Source organism: Homo sapiens, chromosome X, assembly GCF_000001405.40.
Source record: "Homo sapiens chromosome X, GRCh38.p14 Primary Assembly".
NCBI lineage: Eukaryota > Metazoa > Chordata > Mammalia > Primates > Hominidae > Homo > Homo sapiens.
In genome coordinates, this window is record NC_000023.11 from 128311409 (window position 1) to 128331998 (window position 20590).

Sequence of the window (20590 nt, forward strand, 5' to 3'; positions counted from 1 at the left end):
GTTCCACAGATCTCTAGGTCAGGGGCAAAATGTCCCCAAAGTCTTTGCTAAAGCATAGCAAGAGTGCCTTTGCTCCAGTTTGAATAAGTTCTTCATTTTCATCTGAGACCACCTCAGCCCAGACTTCATTGTCCACATCATTATTGGCATTTTAGTCAAAACCATTTAACAAGTCTCTAGCAAGTTCTAAACTTTCCCACATCTTCCTGTCTTCTGAGCCCTCCAAACTGTTTCAACATCTGCTTCTTACCCAGTTCCAAAGTCACTTCCACATTTTCAGGTATCTTTATAGCAGTACCCCACTCTCTGCAGTACCAATTTACTGTATTAGTCTGTTCTCATGCTGCTATAAAGAAATAGCCAAGACTGGGTAATTTATAAAGGAAAGAGGTTTAATTGACTTGCTGTTCCACATGGCTGTGGAGGCCTCAGGAAACTTATAATCATGGTGGAAGGCAAAGGGGAAGCAAGAACCTTCTTCACATGGTGGCAGGAAAGAGAAGAGCCAGTGCAGGAAAAATTACCATTGATAAAACCATCAGATCTTGTGAGAATTCACTCGCTATCACAAGAACAGCATAGGGGAAACCGTCCCCAAAATCCCATCACTTCCCATCAGGTCTCCCCCTAAACACCTGAGGATTAGAATTCAAGATGAGATTTGGGTGTGGACACGCAGTCTAACCATATCATTGACCATATTTTCTATGGCAATATCCAGTTGCAAAAAGGAACCTATAAAGTACCATCTATGTATTTTTAAAACATTCTTTTTACTTTTAAAAATCTGATTTGTCATCTGGTGTATTAAAATCCATGTAATAAGAACACATTACTAGGATGTCAAATCCATTTTATTATACCATCATGAAATTTAATTAGAATTAGGTAACTAATACTATACAGTATTTTAAGTCTGTTTTTAGCTCTTTCTTCAGAGAATTTATTTGGGGATTTTATACAGAATGTACATTCAATAAACATTTTGATAGATGAAATTTTTAAAGCATAGACCTATTAGGTATGACACACAAATTTATACATAAAAGGGGGAAGGTACATGATAAAAGTAAAGTTAACCCTTGGCATTTATATGACTTCTCTGGGGAAATAAGATTCAGTTGAAGGTCAATAACTATTTAGACAGCTAAATAAAGGTTTTGAGGAGACACGAACACATCTTCTGTAAGAATCTGGTAAATGCCTACAAAATGCAACTTGGAATATGCAAGCATATCATATATTTTTCAAAGTAGATTGAACTCTAAAAACTATTTGGCACCTCAAACAAAGCTCTATTTATTCTTTAATTTTGTCTGATTTTTGTCTTGACATTTGTTACTGTTACTACAGAAAATCTGCACATCAAAGTGTGAGTTTAATGTGGCAGATTTTATTGTCCTTTTTGTCATTTTAGTGCTTCGTGTTTTTAAGAATTTGATTGGACATCATATTGAAAAGAATTTAATCTACCTAGCAGAGCAGGAGTTCATATTTTTAAAATAATAAAACAAATATTTTGTGTAACTCAAAATCAAACCATGTATACAATGACTAAATTTAGGTAGGAGTTTGATAATACTGAACATTTTTGGAATTGCAGTTATATGTAAATTGTATGACCTAACCAATACCGATGTATCCTTTTTAGATTTGAAAGTTTGTGAAGGCAAAGCCCTTGCTTGTTTGGTTTACCTCATAATATAGTGCTAAGACAGCACTTAGCAACACAGTGTTTACTTGATAAATATGTGTTGAATGAATTCTTGAATAAGTTATTGAAATAAAAAAAACAAAATGTCAAGATAAAACATCTTTATAAAAACAGGAAAAAAGCCTCTCTCCTCCAGTAGGCCACCCAAGATGCTGAAAAGAAAGGCCAAGAAAAAGAAGGTGGGCCTAGGCCCCTGCTGTTGTGAGGAAACAGGAGGGCAAAAAGGTGGTAAATCTCCTGTTTGAGAAAAGGCCCAATAATTTGGGTACTGGACAGGACATCTAGCCCAAAAGGGAGCTCATCCACCTTGTCAAACGGCCCTGCTACATCCAGCTGCCACAGCAAAAGCCTGTCTCCTATAAGCAGTTGAAAGTGCTTCACAAAATTAACCAGTCCACACAGGCGTTGGACCACCAAACAGCTACTTATCTGCTTAAGCTTGCCCACAAGTACAGACAAGAGGCAAAGCAAGGGAAGCAGCACATACTGTTGGATCCAGGTAGAGAAGAAAGCTGCCAGCAATGGGGATGTCTCCACTAAGAGACGTCCAGTCCTTCCAGCAGGTGTTAACACTGTCACTTCCTTGGTGAAGAACAAGAAGGCTCAGCTGGTGGTTACTGTACATAACATGGATCTCATAGAACTGGTTATGTTTCTGCCTGCTATGTGATGTTAGGTGGAGATTTCTTACTGGATTATCAAGGAGAAGGCCAGATGGGGACAACTAATCCAGAGGAAGACTTACACCACCACTGCCTTCACACCGGTTAACTCGGAAGACATAAGGAGCTCTGGCTAAGCTGGTGGGCACAATGGCAGATATAATGAGATCTGCCATCTCTAGAGAGGCAAGTTCTGGACCTAAAATCTGTGACTCAAATTGCCAATCTGGAAAAGGCAAAGTCTAAAATAACTTGCCACTAAAGTGAGTGAAATGTACACTGTTTTTTTGTACATAAAAATAATGAAAATTCTCGTTCAAAAAGTTAAAACATCATGCTAGTTTTCAAACTTGGAACTTACCTATGAACCACTGTAGGATAAGTTTAAAAAATTAGTTATTTGAGAGAAAGACTTGTTCCATTTGTAATGGTGCCACATGTAATTTGTATTTATATTTCCACATACACACACACTCACACGTTTGCACTGCCACACTGTAGGAAATTTGTATATTTTATTACCTCCACTTGAGAACATTTTAAAAGTTTAGTTTAGTTTAATAATAATTTTTCAACATTTTTACCCGATTTTTTGACAAGAAGACAATGCTGTTTTAATTAACAATTATATATTTTTTCTTAAATCAACAATGACTCTCTTGAAAATTTGGTGAGAGATATAAAGTTCTATTTCTGCATGAATAGTAGTGACTAATCGAATAGAAAATAATTCAATCTACTCAAAACTTACATGAGCTTAAGATTTTTTTTTCTTTTTGAAATGGACTAAACAGAAAAGACATAGTAACTGACATGTTCAGGTAAGAATATTTAATTTTTCTGAATAGGACAAGTCAAGATTTTAAGTTCCAGGAAAATAAAAATGTTTTCACTTTACAACTTCTATTAGATTTGTATGACTGATAAACTTAAGGATTTATATTTGATATTGTTTTTTCTTTGTTTTGATCCTTTTAAATGAAATGTTTGTGTGTCTATATTAGCAACAAAATGTCATGCCTGATATTCCCACTTAATTCTTCAACTATTACAACTCAGGTACATTTTGTAAATCTTACAAGATTGACTGACATGCACATCTGGCACTTTATTTGGATAACCACATAATCTGAAAAATGTTTGAAGTTTTTTATGTATAAACCAAGATGAATATGAGTGCCATCTTGAAAATGATATGCCAACTTGAAGGGGACAGAAAAAGTGGCATATTTAGCTTAACCTTAAGATGCTTCCTGAAATATTTGTTATTATGTTAAGCCCAAAACTACATGCTCTCACTTATAAGTGGAAGGTATATACTGTGTATATACAAACATAGAGTGTGGAATGACAGACAATGGAGATTCAGAAGGATGGGAAGATGGGACTAGGGTGGGGGATGCTGAGCAATTACTTAATGGGCACAATGTACGTTATTTTGGTGATGGATACATTAAAAGGGCTGACTTCACTGCAACACAATTTATGCATGTAACAAAATTACACTTGTACCACATAAATTTATATAAATAAAAAAAGAAGCATGACATAAGTGAAAGCTTTCCCAGATGAAAATTCTATTAAAAAAAGAAAGATGGTGGTATTTTGATGGGACTTGCACTGAATTTGTATATTGCTTTTAGCGGTATGGTCATTTTCACAATATTGATTCTACACATCCTTGACCGTGGGATGTGTTTCCATTTGTTTGTGTCATCTATGATTTCTTTCAGCAGCGTTTTGTAGTTTCCCTTATAGACGTCTTTCACCTCTTTGGTTAGGTATAGTCCTAGTGTTTTATTCTTCACAGAATTAGAAAAAACAATCCTAAAATTCATATGGAATAAAAAAAGAGCCGACATACCCAAAGCAAGTCTAAGCAAAAAGAACAAATCTGGAGGCATCACATTACCTGACTTCAAACTATATTATAAGTCCATAGTCATCAAAACAACATGGTACTCGTATAAAAATGGGCACATAGACCAATGGAACAGAATAGAGAACCCAGAAATAAACCCAAATACTTACAGCCAATTGATTTTTAACAAAGCAAACAAAAACATAAAGTGGAGAAAGGACACCCTATTCAACAAATGGTGCTGGGATAATTGGCAAGTCACATGTAGGAGAATGAAACTGGATCCTCATCTTTCACCTTAAACAAAAATCAACTCAAGATGCATCAAGGACTTAAATTTCAGACCTGAAACTATAAAAATTCTAGAAGATAACTTTGGAAAAACCCCTCTAGACATTGGCTTAGGCAAGGATTTCATGATCAGGAACCCTAAAGCAAATGCAATGAAAATAAACGTAAATAGCTGGGATTTAATTAAACTAAAGAGCTTTTGCAAGACAAAATGAACAGTCAGAAGAGTAAACCGACAACCCACAGAGTGGGAGAAAATCTTCACAATCTATATATCCGACAAAGGACTAATAACCAGAATCTACCACAAACTCAAATAAATTAGCAAGAAAAAACCAATCCCATCAAAAAATAGGCTAAGGACATGAATAGACAATTCTCAAAAGAAGATATACAAATGTCCAACAAACATATGAAAAAGTGCTCAACATCACTAATGATCAGGGAAATGCAAATCAAAACCACAATGCAATACCACCTTACTCCTGCAAGAATGGCCATACTCAAAAATTTCAAAAAATAATAGATGTTACCATGGATGTAGTGAGTAGGGAATACTTCTACACTGCTGGTGGGAATGTAAACTAGTACAACCACTATGGAAAACAGTGTGGAGATTCCTTGAAGAACTATAAGTAGAACTAGCATTTGATCCACCAATCCCACTACCAGCTATCGACCCAGAGGAAGAAGTCATTATACAAAAAAGATACTTGAACATGCATGTTTAGAGCAGTACAATTCACAATAGCAAAAATGTGAAATCAATCCAAATGCCCATCAATCAGCGAGTGGAAAATGAAATTGTGAGAGATATATATATATAGATGGATATAGATATATAATGATGGAATACTACTGAGCCATAAAAAGGAATTAATTAATGGCATTTTCACCAACCTGAATGAGAATGGAGACTATTATTCTGAGTGAAGTAACTCAGGAATGGAAAACCAAACATATGTTCTCACTCATAAGTGGAAGCTAAGCTATGAGGATGCGAAAGCATAAGAATGACACAGTGAACTTTGGAGACTCAGGGGGAAAGGGTGGCAAGGGGGTATGGGATAAAAGACTACAAATTGGGTGCAGTATATACTGCTCGTGTGATGGGTACACCAAAATCTCAGAAATTGCCACTAGAGAACTTACTCATGTAAGCAAACGCAACCTATTCCCCAATAACCTATGGAAATAAAACAATAATTTAAAAAAAGAAACCATATCCATCTATCTCAGCTCCCTTTTCCCCTAAAGGACAACCACTTTTGTAACTCTCAATGTGTTCTACATTAACTTCTAGAAAGTTTACCCATTCATAATTACTGACTCTGCTTAAATAAGTTAACTATTGGCAACTCGTTAGAGTAGTCAAATTCAAAGTATTAAATCAAATCCAAAATATATAACCAATTTTGTGATTAATAAGTAAATAATAAATATGATAAGCACATAATAAAAGAACATAGACTGTAATCAAAATTCACCATGCATGTATTTCTAGTTCTAATACCACTACTATTAACTAATATTTATTGAGAGCTTATTATGTGCTAAGTACTGTGTACTTTGCATATATAATCTCATTAAATTCATAGTATTATCTTACTTATTTTTAGATAGGTAAATTTTCTCGCATTGTGGCATTTTAGCTGATATGCAAATAAATTCTGAAAAGGCATATATTTGAAGTCGTAACCATAAATTGATTTTAAAACAGGCTTAATTCTAAAGCCTTAACCATAATAATACATTGCTAATAAAGGATGCTTGAATATAAGGGATGCCAGTGGTGAAGTCTGAGGGTATCAGACCCAACTGTACTGAATGAACTGAAATGGACACCTAAAAATAAAGAAATACTTATTTATTATAACTTTTTCTCTTTAAAAATGAGTTTCCTGTAATTTTATCTATATATTTTAGATTTTAATATTACTAAGAAGACAATAGATGAATGTTATGTTTTTGTATATTTTCAAAACACAAGATTTTTGAAACATAAATTTTAGGCTATGTCTATAGCATATCTCTAAAATGGTTTAAGATGAAAAATTAAGGATCTATGTTTAAAGAATAGTCGCAAGATAAATTCACTGATTGCTTCAAATAAAACTAAACTAAGAAAATATGAACATTTAAATTATGCTAATGTAGACAAACTAATTTTTTGCCTTCTTTTTTTTAGGCTTTTACACTAGATACTGGATTACATACAGGGACTAGAACTGATTGGCAGGAGTGACAATGCTAATGCTAATATTTCGCTGAACAAACTGGCCAAGTCTTTCCAAATAAAATTGATTTATACATACATTCTACCAATAAGAGATGCCAGGTCAGAGTAAGTATATTGCTACTATGGTATTGTAACTTCAGTGTTTATGTTTATTTTTACTTCTATATTAATTTGTGTTGAGGAGTATATTTTCCATACTGCTAGAAGGAGAAGATGGCTTATTACATAATATGGTTCTTGGCTATAACAATGTTTTGTCCTGGAAATGTCAACCAAAATACGAAAATATAGATAGATAAAATACTTACTATTATCAAACTCCAGACTATACACAATATTCAAAATCCAGGAAAGGACCATTAAATAAACCATGTTCAGAATATTGTAAGATCTACCCCCACAAATGTTTACCCCTGTAAACTTCGTAATTTTCATTATTACTATAAATTAGAAAAATAATTTTGGACTAAAATATTCAGTTTAGTGGCTTTAGCATTCACAGAGGGCCAATATTAAGTCACTGAGTTATTAGAAACTGCTAAGATGTAGAGAAATAGAACATTTTAAGTTGGAGGACTCTCTCAGATATTGAAATTGGGATGTTACAACCATATCATATCAAGAATACACTATATGTGTGCATAAGGATAGCTATACACAGTAGCAATTTCATTTTCTAAAATAAAAATTCTATAAATGGGACCACTTTTTATTACTTTTTGGAGCTGGGCTGAACATGAAGTAGACTTTATATGTATACATACCTATTCAGGTCAGACACTCTTAACTGTACCTTATAGAATTTGAAGAACCAGGAAAGACATTAGTCTTAATGAATTCATAGTCAAGCTCCAACTGAGCTTTGCTTTGCTCTATGTTTTCCCAAAGCAAAGCAAGGCTCAGTTTGAACTTGGCTAATGTCCAGGTTTGTAGAGCAGGGAAACATGAGATGACCATGACTACATTAATCAAAATTGCAGAGCACTGCTACCTTTAAAAAAAAAGAAGAAGAAAAGAGACAGTAGGTTACCACTTCAAAAAGTGTCTTGGAAGAGTGGTTGGTAAATCGGTACAACAGAACACTTAGCGTAAGTTCTAGTGTTCAGTAGCACAGTAGGGTGATTATATTAAGAATAATTCATTGTATATTTCAAAATAGATAGAAGATATAGAATATTCCCAACACAAATAATGTGATAGGTGATAGATATCCCAATTAACCTGATTTGCTCATTATATATTATGTACATGTATCAAAATATCACATGCACCCCATAGATATGTATAATTATTATTTATCAACTTAAAAAAAGTATATAGGGCATCTAACAAACATGTAGCCCATAGATCTAACTAATGCTCAGGCAGCCGCGATAGTCCTTAAGAACTCACAAAAATAGGCCCAAAGATGAGAACATTTTTGGAATGCAATTTACTTGGAGATTAGAAACAAACTTACTTCGCCTTATATATCCTACTTTATGAAGTTGAGACCTGGATTTTGAGTGATTTGAGAGATCAGATTTGAAGAAGGCACAGTAGAGTCAGTTAAGTAACAGTAACAAAATTTATACAATATAAAGTTTGCTTTATTGTTATTTAGATGAAGTCATTCATCTCAATCCTATGAAATTCATCAGAGCTGTAGAAGTTTACATAAGGCACAGTAGGCCTAATAGCTATGGAGAACAAATAGCTTGAGAAAAACTGGCATATTGTCAACCAATGAGGATACTTTAATCTAGAGAACTTCCCTCAAAATGTATCAGACCACCAGCCTTGGTTTGATTACATTGTTAAATCATATTGAATTGGTCATTAAGATATCCTGTGGTTAAATTAATCAACATTGTTTTTTTAAATTATTCCATCTTTAATTTATAATTAGTCTCTCAAAAGCAAGGACCATGTATACTGAATTGAACAAATATAATGAATAGCTACTGAATACTAGGAGCTTCTGGGAATAGAAAATAAGGAAATATAATCCCTTCCTTAAAAAGTTTAAAGCTACTAGGAAAGATAAACCAGTTCACCAGTGCACAACTAATGCAGAAGAGTGCTATAGTTGAAATATATGCTATAATAAAACTTTACCAATGCATTAGTGCCCAATTTGTTGATTAACCATGAAAAAAAAACATTCTTTAATGGAAGTTCAAACTTTTTGGATCTTGTATACTGTTTCCAAACATTGGGAGAAAAAGGTTTATTTTACAGTCAGAAAAATGTTGTGCTACTTGTTTCACAAAAACAAAAGTCTCATTATGATGCTAATAGAGAAAAAGTATGTAGAGGAAAGAAGGAAGGAAGGAAGGGAGAGAGGGAGGGAGGGAGGCAGGGAAAGAGAAAAGAAAAGAAGAAAGAAAGGAAGAAAAAGAAAAAAGAAAGAAAGAACACATCATGCCTAGCATTCTTGTAGTTAGTATTTATTTAGTGTATTGACTGAAGCTGGTATCTTTTAAAATGCATTTAGCAAATACTTACATAGTGCTTACTCTGCATCAGGTACTATTTTAAGTAACTTTCTCATATTAATTCATTTGATTCACTTAATTCTCACAACTTTTAGAAATGGATATACTATAATCTCCAGTTTAAACAAGGCAGAGAGAGGTTAAATAACACCCCCAATTACTTCCTGCATGACCACTTGAAAAGTTGGGAAGGAACACATCATTTACTATAGCACTATTCTTCTTCTTCTTTTTTTTTTTTTTTTGTCTTTCGAAAAAAAAAATAGTGATTTCAAGTTATTTACCTGCTCCCTGGTATCTTACACCATCTCACACTTCCCTATCTTTCCAGATAAAAACTTTGGGCCTTTGTCTACTGCCCTCAATTAAAATACATGTATTTCAAGGATTTTCTAGGTGATGATATGCAAATGCCTGATGCCCTTCTAAGGATGAGGTGGCAACTATGTTTAATTACACATTTGCTAATTCTAATCTAATAACTACCCTTCCCAGAGGCACTGTGTAGAAGAGTTCAGGAATTATGTTACTCTCCCTGTGCTTTCTCATTTAATACTCACTATAACACTATAAGAGAGATACTGTATTCTCATTTCACATATGTAGAAACTGAAACTCAAAAAGTTCAGATAAGATGAGCAAGGACTGGGGTTTAAATCAATGTACCTCTGACTCCAAAGCCTGTGCTTTTCCAAATTTTGAAGATATTTTGTCCTAATTCCGAGCTACAGAATACCTGGCATGGACTCTTTTGTTTCATGTACTTAGTAGTCGTTGCTAATTAGTCACAATCTGTCTTAGCTCAGTACTCTAGGTTATCACTACAAATGGATTGAGATTGATATGGGAGATAAAGTAGTTTTAGTACCCTTGCCATAATCCAAATGTGATCTTTTTTTTTCATTTTATAGGTTTAAATGCCTTTGAAGACTTTTATTTTAAATGATGTCAAATTTATATGCAATTATTTTCAGGCAACAATTTCCTGAGACTGGAGGAAGAGAAAAAGATGACAGAAAGGGACCAAAGCTAAATTTTAGCACTATGTCAGATTTTCCAAAAATGGAATTCTATAAAGTTAAAAATAATTCAAAACAAGTGATTCTTGTACATCTATATCAGCAATGTTCTTTACTGAACAAAGTGGAAAAAAACTTTAATCTTAAGGTGATGATAAATAATTAAACACGTAAATGTCAAATTTAGAAATCACCTGGAATTCAACCATAAAGATGTATATTTTAGAATAATTAGCTCAGTGCTAAGACATATATGGATGTATGGAAGACATGAGAGCCACCTGTTCATTTATTTCCCAAGTAAACAGCAAACATGACTTTCATTCAAATCCATGTATTCATTTAAATGAACCCCAAAGCTCTAATACCCTATGTGTAGCTATTTTGCTATTATTTAGCATTAAATGCATTTGTAGGACTTTATTTCATAGAAACAGGCATGTATATGGAACTATTCCTGTCCTCAATTTTATAACAAATCAGTAGTGAGTACAATTTTAGGTCATTAGAGATTAGTAGATATTATACTGAAAAAACATATTTTATTTCCATTGTAAAATGCAGCACATGCACATTTTTATTTACAGTATTTTTTTAAAATTGCCAAAATTATATTCCAACGATTTAATTTAGAACATTTTATTGTAGATACATATTGGTAAAAACAGCCTTCACAACCAATATACATGCTTGGAGTGGTACAGAAATCAAATTTGTGTCACCATCAAACAATAATAATAGTAACAATTATAAAATAAAAATGTTATTCTAATATTTACATACTACTTTTGGTTTATAAAGCACTTAACACACACTTTACTCATTTAATTTTCATAATAATTACCAGATTGCTTGTACTGTAGGTAGCTGATTCTCATTTCCCGAACTATGATTATGATTTAGTATATCTGTGTAGACCAATAATTTGAATTTTACATACTCATCTGCAGGTAATTCTAAGGGAATGTTGCTACTCAGAGTGCTGGCTCACTCAGAACAGCCGTGTGGGCATCACCTGGGAGCTTGTAAGAAATGCAGAAACTTGGGCCTCAACTCAGAACTACTGAATAGGAATTTGCATTTTATTAAGATTCCTCAGGTGATTCAAATATATATTAAAGCTTGAGGAGCATCCCTCTAACTACACTTCAAATGTAGATGTGGTTATCCTTCCATTGAAGATAGTGTTCTCATTTGCAAAATCGGCATAATAAATACCTGTTTCCAAAGATGGTTGTAAAAATATAAAATACAAAGATTATAAAATATAAAGATTATATTAGCAAACTTTCAGCCAATGGTCTCTGCTAGCATTTTCATTCATTTAACAAATATTTTTCTTGAGTACTTGCTGCAAGTCAGGGACACTGTTGGGTTTGCCTTATGAAATGCTAAAGAAGATAGATACAGTTCCTGCCTTTATGGAGTTAATTGTCTAGGGCAGAGCTTGAAGTCATCATAACCATCATCAATGTCATTATCAGCATTAAGATATTTTTTATTATAATGACAGGTCTTAAAATAATATAACAGAAATAGACGAAGGAGGACAAAATGTTTCTCATCAGCAGTGTTGCACAAGAAAAGCAAACAAAAGTTAGCATATTAGTTTGATTTCACAGAGAGAGAGGTCATGGCAAAAAGTATTTACCTGTGGCTGAAGGAGTAAATGGGAGGGGAAAAGGGGGACAAAAAAATACATATCCGGAGCCATATAAATCATTTTCACGAAATTATAGAGAATTCTCTCTTGATAGGTAATACATTTTAAATTGGATTTTAAAAGCAATAGGGAAATAAAACATGAATTTTCCCTAGTTCTTACCTCAATATGTCCTTAGAGCTGACTTCACTGGGGCTGTTTGCCTAGGGCTTAGTCCTTCTGAAGGTCTCAGAAACAAGTTCTATCCTACTGTGGTTATAAGAGGACTGACTCCACATGAATTGGCCTTCATTTCTTAGGCCCAAAGTGTCTCTCTCACATGAATGCATGAATGGCAGGCCTAAAAGAAAAAAAAAAAAGGAAAAATTAACCCACACAATTGATTGACTCAACATTGGAGGGATAAAAAGTAATACATACTTAGATTCAACTTCTGCCTGCCCCAAAGTACACACCAGGAACCCATTGCTTGCATTGACAAATCTCTTAATTAGAAGATGGTATTTGTTCTCAATTAGAGAAACAGATTGAGATGCTCCCTTTAAAGATAAAACCATTGAAAAGTGTGCAGCAGTTTGGTGGAAAAAGAGGCAATTAGGCATATCACCTGGAGACTCCTTGCATTTGCAGCAGTGAATGCGTAAACAAAACAATTACTCCACTCAAGAGATACTTCACCATGGCTCAGAGAGAGAAGGGGATGAATCACTGCTGATGAGTATTTAAGAAATGTCCCCTGAGATTAATTCCTATACACACAAAAAGATAATCACCGCCATCCACATTACCTTGGTATACTTTTCCTGAAACTACACTGAATTTCTGGAAAATAATATGAAGATCATACTTAGAACACAATCAGAAGCAAGCACTTTTCCATGAATTTACTGCAGCAAAGAATACTATTTTACTCAAGTAGCCCAGGTGTTTTGTGTCATTTCATTAATTCATTCAATGAGTAGCACTTATTTTGTGCACAACTCTACTAAACACACAAGTGTACTCAAATATGTAAAAGAATAATCCACTGTCCTCCAGGACCTCATTTGCAAAACATTTGGCAAGATGTTCCATTAGAGGAAAAAATCAAGTCCATGTGTTACAAAATGTGTGCTGGGGAGCTAGTGTGTGTGTGTGTGTGTGTGTGTGTGTGTGTGTGTGTGTGTGCAGGAAGAAGTCTAAGTCTGAGAATCATCAGAATACATTCTTAGTAATATGTTGGAGATGAGTCATACACTAGACCTTGATAAGAGTACAGACTTTAAATTTGGCTGCCTTTAAAAGATACCAAAAGAACCCATTAAAAAGCTGAAAATCCAATGACATCATTACATCTTTTTGTCTATATGATGTAAAATGTTCAGCCTAACATTTTAATTGAATTTTATTGTTTATTCTATCACACAGCCCACCCTACCTTTTTGGCTGAATCCAATAGGATAATGAAATATGTTTTCAGTCATAACTAACTTATTTATATAGGGCATTCCTGTGTGTAGGCAACATGTGATAACAGGAGCTCTACAAAGATCTGTTGTCCAGGACAAATAATTCTTCAACTGTTTCTATCTAATATTATAAGAGAAAATATTTTATTGAAAGAGAATAAATAAGATGTAAAATTGCAGTTCGAGAAGAAAGAGAATGCAGGAATTTAAATACATCTTTATGTGCAAATGAAGCCACCACTAGAACTTGGAGATTTGGCCAATGAACCATCTCAATGAGAAGGTTTCCACAGTAAGTGGCCCAAGGACCCCCTTTGATTTATTAAACCTAAGAAGTATGGACAAATTATAAGGCCCAGCCATAAACTCTACATGATTCTCCTCTGTTTGTTAGGCATGACTCAAATATTTTAAGGTAGTTTCAACTAAACAATATGCCAAATATATGGTTTGTTGGAATTTAAATTTTCACTCTATTGTTTAGGAATATAGGCAGAAATATAGATGCCTACAAGAAAAAAATAATTAAAAACCTGGATATTCAAGCATATTGCAGTTTGTGAAGGGACAATCAACTCACCTGACAGTTTGCTAACTTTTTTGGATACATAATAGAATTTTAAAATAAAATATAAACGTGAGAAAACTTTCTCCAAGTATTATTATTTACTGTGATTAGAAACAGTTGTAAAAAAGTATGAGACAACAAAGAAATTTCACTTTTATTTTGCATTTCCTTTTAATGTAGGCAACAAAGCAAGTACTTTTGTGCTGAAAATACATCCTACAGATATTTACAAGTTACCTTGCTGTTAAAAATTAGTTCTATCCATTGCATAATTTCAAATCTCAGAATACCAAATTCCCTTGACAGATACTTATTAACATCAGATTTACAATTTACTCGCAAATCAAAAGTTTGACTTATTATATTTTCCTCCTAGGGAAAACACTAACTTTAACGAAGTTTTTTGAAGTCATGCTATGAATATACATATATTCCTCCCTTTGCATCTTTGATTCAGCTGGAGATGTACAAGACATTAATTTCAAATAGCACATAAACCATCTTTACATTCTTTTAGGCTTAATTTTATTTTTTTCAATTGATTTGAACTGTGGTAATCTGAACTCCAAGCATAGCAATCTGACTGACTCTGATGCTCTAAATTTTGCACAGCTTGTCTACCCCAGAGGTGCTATTGTCACAAAACTTGTTAGTAACGAAGTACAGTAAATCCATTCTTACAACAGGATTAATTAATAATCACTGCAAATCCATTCTTACAACAGGATTAATAATACCAAAGTTTCTTTCTTATGATGTGTCAGGGATAAAATCTTTGGCCCAAACAAGAAATCAAATAATTGCCTACCTTTTCAGTCTCATTTCCTCACTTATACTTTATGCTCCAACATTTCCTATTCCCCTTTACTTACTTGTATTCACTATGATGGTGCTTGACTTTGCTACTTTGCTTAATGCTACCTCTGTGTCTGAAAGTTCTTCCCACAAACTCAATTATTCAGCCATTAACACTTGGATATTACCTCAGCTCCTCCAGAAAACTTTTTTACTTCTTAATCATTCTCTCCACCTCCACCCAGGCTGATTTAATTATCATTATAATTCTTCCAGTTCTCTTAGCTCAAGGTATGCATATTTCATTTCTATGGTGTTTCATCTTAAGCACATGAGGCTAAAAAGTAGTTGAAATTAAAAAAAAAAAAACCTTCAAAAATACCTTCCGTAGAAGGACGCCCTAGTGAAAGCAGACATTCAACATCCCAGGAACCACCTGATTTGTCTCTTTTCACCAATCATGACTAAGATATATTTTAAAGTCTATTTTGATGAAATGACTTGCTGGAGGCATCGTTTGCTTGAATGTAAATTTTCACTCTATTGCTTAGTAATATAGACAGGAATTTTGAAATCAGCATGTACTTAACACTGTGAGATTGCTAAGGTTGAGTGCAGAAATAAAGGGTTGATACAGTAACTTTCAAAAGTAGATTGTTGGGGGATAGGAGGAGTTGAGTCATATCAGACAGCAAAACAAGTGTGTTGTTTTCTATTGGAAGCCTAATAAATGGCATTGGCATTTGGGAGAAGGATAATGGCGATAAATGGCATAGCACTTGTTTCTGCCTCTCTGGAGATCATGAAGTCCTCATGATCTCAGTCCTCTGTCTCTGCTGTGATGACATCTATGAAGCAGCTAGCATAGAGAGTATGGTAAAGAAATGTTTGCTTCTTCACTCTCTTTCCTCTCTTTTCTACATCTCCATATGTTTTAGGATACACTTTGTCTTCAATGATCTAATCACACTTCAGTGTGGCTGGTCCCACGTGATAGAAAATAGTAATTCACAACAGAATGAAACTGTTGACTTTGTAACCATTTAAACATTTTATTTTTATTTTTAAAATTATTTTTAGAAATTATTTTAGATACAGGGGGCTCATGAGCAGGTTTGTCCCATGGATATATAGCATGATGCTGAGATTTGGGCTTTGATTGAACCCTTGATCCAAATAGTGAAACATAGTACCCAAGATAGTTTCTTAACCTTTCCCCTCTCCTTCCCTTCCCCACTTTGGAGTCCCCAGTGTCTATTTTTCCCATCTTTATGTCCATGTGTACCCAATGTTTAGCTCTCACAAGTAAGAATATGTTAATCCACTATGGATAATAACATTCAGCTGCATCCATGTTGCTGCAAAGGACAAAATTGTGTTCTTTTTGTGGCTGTATAGTATTCTATAGTGTATATATAACACATTTCCTTTATCTAATCGATGATGGGAGGGCGCCTAGGTTGATTCCATGTCTTTGCTATTGGGAATAGTGCTGTAAGAAACATACAAGTGCAGGTGTCTTTTTAGAAGAACAATTTATTTTCCTTTGCAAATATATCCAGTAATGGGGTTACTGGGGTGAATCGTAGTTGTCTTCATAGTTCTTTGAGTAATCTCCAAACTGCTTTCCACAGAGGCTCAACAAATTTACAATTCCACCAACAGTGGATTGGTGTTCTCTATTCTCTGCAACCTTGCCAACGTCTGTAATTTTTTTTGACTTTTTAATAATAGCCATTCTGACTGGTATGAGATGGTATCACATTGTGGTTTTGAGTTCAGTTTCTCTAATAATTAGTGATTTTGAGCATCTTTAAAGTATATTTGTTGGCAGATTGTATTCCTTCTTTTGAGAAGTTTCCATTCATGTCCTTTGCCCCCTCCCCCCACCTTTTTTTTTGAGACGGAGTCTCACTCTGTCGCCAGGCTGGAGTGCAGTGTCGCGATCTCAGCTCACTGCAACTTCCACCCCGCCCCCACCCCCACCGGGTTCAAGTGATTCCCATGCCTCAGCTTCCCAAGTAGCTGGGACTACAGGCATGCACCACCACGCCCAGCTAATTGTTTTGTATTTTTAGTAGAAACGTGATTTCACCATGTTGACCAGGATGGTCTCGATCTCCTGACTTTGTGATCCACCCGCCTCCGCCTCCCAAAGTTGCCCACTTTTTAATGGGGTTACTTGTTTTTTGTTGTTGTTAATTTGTTTAAGCTCCTTGTAGATTCTGGATATTAGTCCTTTGTTGGATGTATAGTTTCAAATATTTTCTCCCATTCTGTAGGTTGTCTGTTCACTCTTTTGACCATTTCTTTTGCTATGCAGAAGCTCCTTATTTTAATTAGGTTCCAATTGTGAATTTTTGTTTTTGCTTCATTTGCCTTTGAGGACTTAGTCATAAATTCTTTGCCTAAGCCTGCGTTCAAGAGTATTTCCTACGTTTTCTTCTAGGGTTTTTATAGTTTGAGGGCTTATATTTAAATCGTTAATCCATCTTGAGTTAATTTTTGTATATGGTGAGAGGTACAGGTCCAGTTTTATTCTTCTGCATGTGGCTAGCCAGTTTTCCCAGCATTAGGTGTGTGGCTCTATTTACAGGTTCTCAATCCTGTTGCATTAATTATGTGTCCACTTTTTTTATTTTTCTTTTTTCTTTTTCTTTCTTTTTTTTTTTTTTTTTTTTGAGATGGGGTCTCGCTTTGTTGCCCAGGCTGGAGTGCAGTGGTGCAATCTCGGCTCACTGCAAGTTCTGCCTCCCAGGTTCATGCCATTCTCCCACCTCAGCCTCCCGAGTAGCTGGAACTAAAGGCGCCCGCCAACACACCTGGCTAATTTTTGTTTTTGTATTTTTAGTAGAGACTGGGTTTCACCATTTTAGCCAGGATGGTCTTGATCTCCTGACCTCGGAGTCTCACTCTGTCATCCAGGCTGGAGTGCAGTGGTGCAATCTTGGCTCACTGCAAGCTCTACCTCCCGGGTTCACACCATTCTCCTGCGTCAGTCTCCAGAGTAGCTGGGACTACAGGCACTACAGGCGCCCGCCACCACGCCCGGCCAATTTTTTTGTATTTTTGGTAGAGACGGGGCTTCACCGTGTTAGCCAGGATGGTCTTGATCTCCTGACCTTGTGATCTGCCCAGCTCGTCGCCAAAGTGCTGGGATTACAGTGTGAGCCACTACACCCGACCAATTATGTGTCCATTTTTTCTTACCTGTAACATGCTGTTTTACTTAATATAGCCTTATAGTATAGTATAGTTCAGTAATGTGATTCCTCCAGTTTTGCTCTTTTTGCTTAGGATTTCATTAGCTATTCAGATTCCTTTTGGTTCCATATGATTTTTAGAAGAGCTTTGTCAATTTCTATGGAAAATTACATTAATAATTTGATAGGAATTGCTTTGAATCTGTAGATTGCATTGAACAATGTGGACATATTAACGATATTGATTCTTCCAAACCATGAGCACAGAATAGTTTTCTATTTTCTTGTCTCATCAACTATTTCTTTCATCAATATTTTGTAGTTCTCACTGTAGACATATTTCACCTTTTTGAATAGATGTACTCCTGGATATTTTCTTCTTTTTGTCGCTATTATAGATGGGATTGCATTCTTGATTTGGTTGTCAGCTTGAATTCTATTGATGTATAGAAATGTTACTGACTTTTGTACATTGATTTCATATCTTGAAACTTTACTGAAGTCATTTATCAGACCTAGGAGTGTTTTGGCAGAATGTTTAAAATTTTCTAAGTATAGAATCTTATTTTCAGTGAAAAGAAATAATTGGTTTCCTCTTTTCCTCTTGAGATGATTTTTAATTGTTTCTCTTGCCAGATTGTTCTGGCTAGGACTTCCAATACTATATTAAATAGGAGTGATGAGCATGGACATCCTTTTCTTGTTCCAGTTCTTAAAAGGAATTATTCTACGTTTTCTTCGTTCGGTATGATATTGGCTGTGGGTTTTTCACAAATTTCACTTATTATTTCAAAGTATGTTCCTTCAGTGCCTACTTTTTTTATGGTTTTTATCATGAAGAGATGTTGGATTTTATAGAATGCTTTTTCTACATCTATTGAGATGATCGTATGGTTTTTGCTTTTTAATTTTGATTATGTGGTGAATCATATTTATAGATTTGCATGTATTCAACCATCCTTGCATCCCAGGAATAAGTCTACTTGATTGTGTTGTATTATGTCTTTTATGGGCTACTGGATTCAGTTTGCTCATATATTGCTGAGGATTTTTGCATCCATGTTCATCAGAAATATTGGCGTGTAGTTTTGTTTTTGTCATGTCTTTGCCAGATTATACTATCAAAATAATACCATACCTGCTTATGATATCAGGATGATACCATAATCTGGAGGGGTCCCTCTTCCTCAATTTTTTGGAATAGTTTCATTAAAATTGGTACCAGCCATTATATGTACATCTGGTAGAATTTGTGTGTGAATTAATCTAGTCCAGGCCTTTTTTTTGGCAGGTAGATATTTTATTACTGATTCAATTTTGTAGCTTGATATTAATCTGTTCAAAGTTATTATTTCCTCCTGGGTCAATTTTGACAGGTTGTGTATGGAATGGAATGTATTCATTTTTCTTTTCCAGATTTTCTAGCTTGTGTGCATAGAGATGTTGACAGTATCTCTGAAAGTCTTTTGTATCTATGTGGGATTGGTTGTAATGTCACCGTTATCATTTCTACTTGTCCTTTATTGGATCTACTCCCATTTTTTTTCTTTGGTAATCAAGCAAACAGTTTATTGGTAGCATTTATTCTTTCAAAGAACCACTTTTTTTCATTTTGTTGATGCTTTGTATGGTTTCGTAAGTCTCAATTTTGTTTATTTCTGACGTGATTTAAGTTATTTCTTTTATTCTGCTAGGTTAGAGTTTAGTTTGTTCTTGTTTTTTTCTAGTTCCTTTAGGGGTAACATTAGTTTATTATCTGAGATATTTCCATCTTTTTGATGTAGGTGTTTAGCAGTATAAACTTTCCTCTTAACACTGTTTTTTTCATATCTCAGAGACTTTGGTACATTGTGTCACTCGTTTCATTTATTTCAAATAGTTTTGAAAATTTCTGCCTCAATTTCATTGTTAACCCAAAAGTCATTCAGGAGCAAATTGTATTGTTTCCATGTATTTTTATGGTTTTGAAAGTTCACCTTGATATGAGTTTCTGTTTTTATTCCACCATAGTCTGAGAGTATGCTTCATATGATTTTAATATTTTTGAATGTGTTAGGGTATCTTCTACATGTATATGATAATTTTGTATATTCTATGGTTTTGGGGTAGAGTGTTCTGTAGATTTCTATTAACTCCAATTTGTCAGCTGTCAAGTTTATGCTCAGAATTTCTTTGTGAGTTCTCTTCCTTGATGATCTATCAAATGCTGATGGTGCCATGTTGAAGTTCCCCTCTTTTAATGTGTGAGTGTCAGTCTTTTTTTGGATCTAGTAGTAATTGTTTTATAAATCTGGGTGCTCCAATGTTTGGTGCATATTTATTTATGATAGTGAAATCTTCCTGTTCAATTGAGCTTTTTACCATTATATAATGCCATTCTTCATCTTTTTTTTCCTGTTGGTGGTTCAGTCTGTTTTATTTTACATAGGAATAGTGATTGCTGTTCTTTTTCATTTTCCATTTGTATTGTAGATCTTTCTGTATCCCTTTACTTTGAGCCTAAGGGTCTCATTACTTATGAGATGAGTCTTTTGAACACAGCAGAAGGTTGGGTCTTGATTTTTTGATTTGCCACTCTGTGTCTTTCGAGTGGAGTGTTTAGGTTGCTTATGTTCAAGGTTATTATTGATAGGTAAGGTTTTGTTCCTGT

The 20590-nt window shown here is 34.5% G+C and overlaps 1 long non-coding RNA gene and 1 pseudogene across 1 annotated transcript in view; one reads left to right on the top strand and one right to left on the bottom strand.

Moving 5' to 3' along the window:
• On the top strand, window positions 1873–2640 carry RPL7AP72 (ribosomal protein L7a pseudogene 72; annotated as a pseudogene).
• Window positions 10789–20590, bottom strand: part of LOC107985698 (uncharacterized) — a 375495-nt gene continuing 365693 nt past the window's right edge. Inside the window, exon 7 of the long non-coding RNA XR_002958819.2 lies at window positions 10789–12266. This is a non-coding gene — a long non-coding RNA (uncharacterized LOC107985698). The remainder of the gene's footprint in view (window positions 12267–20590) is intronic.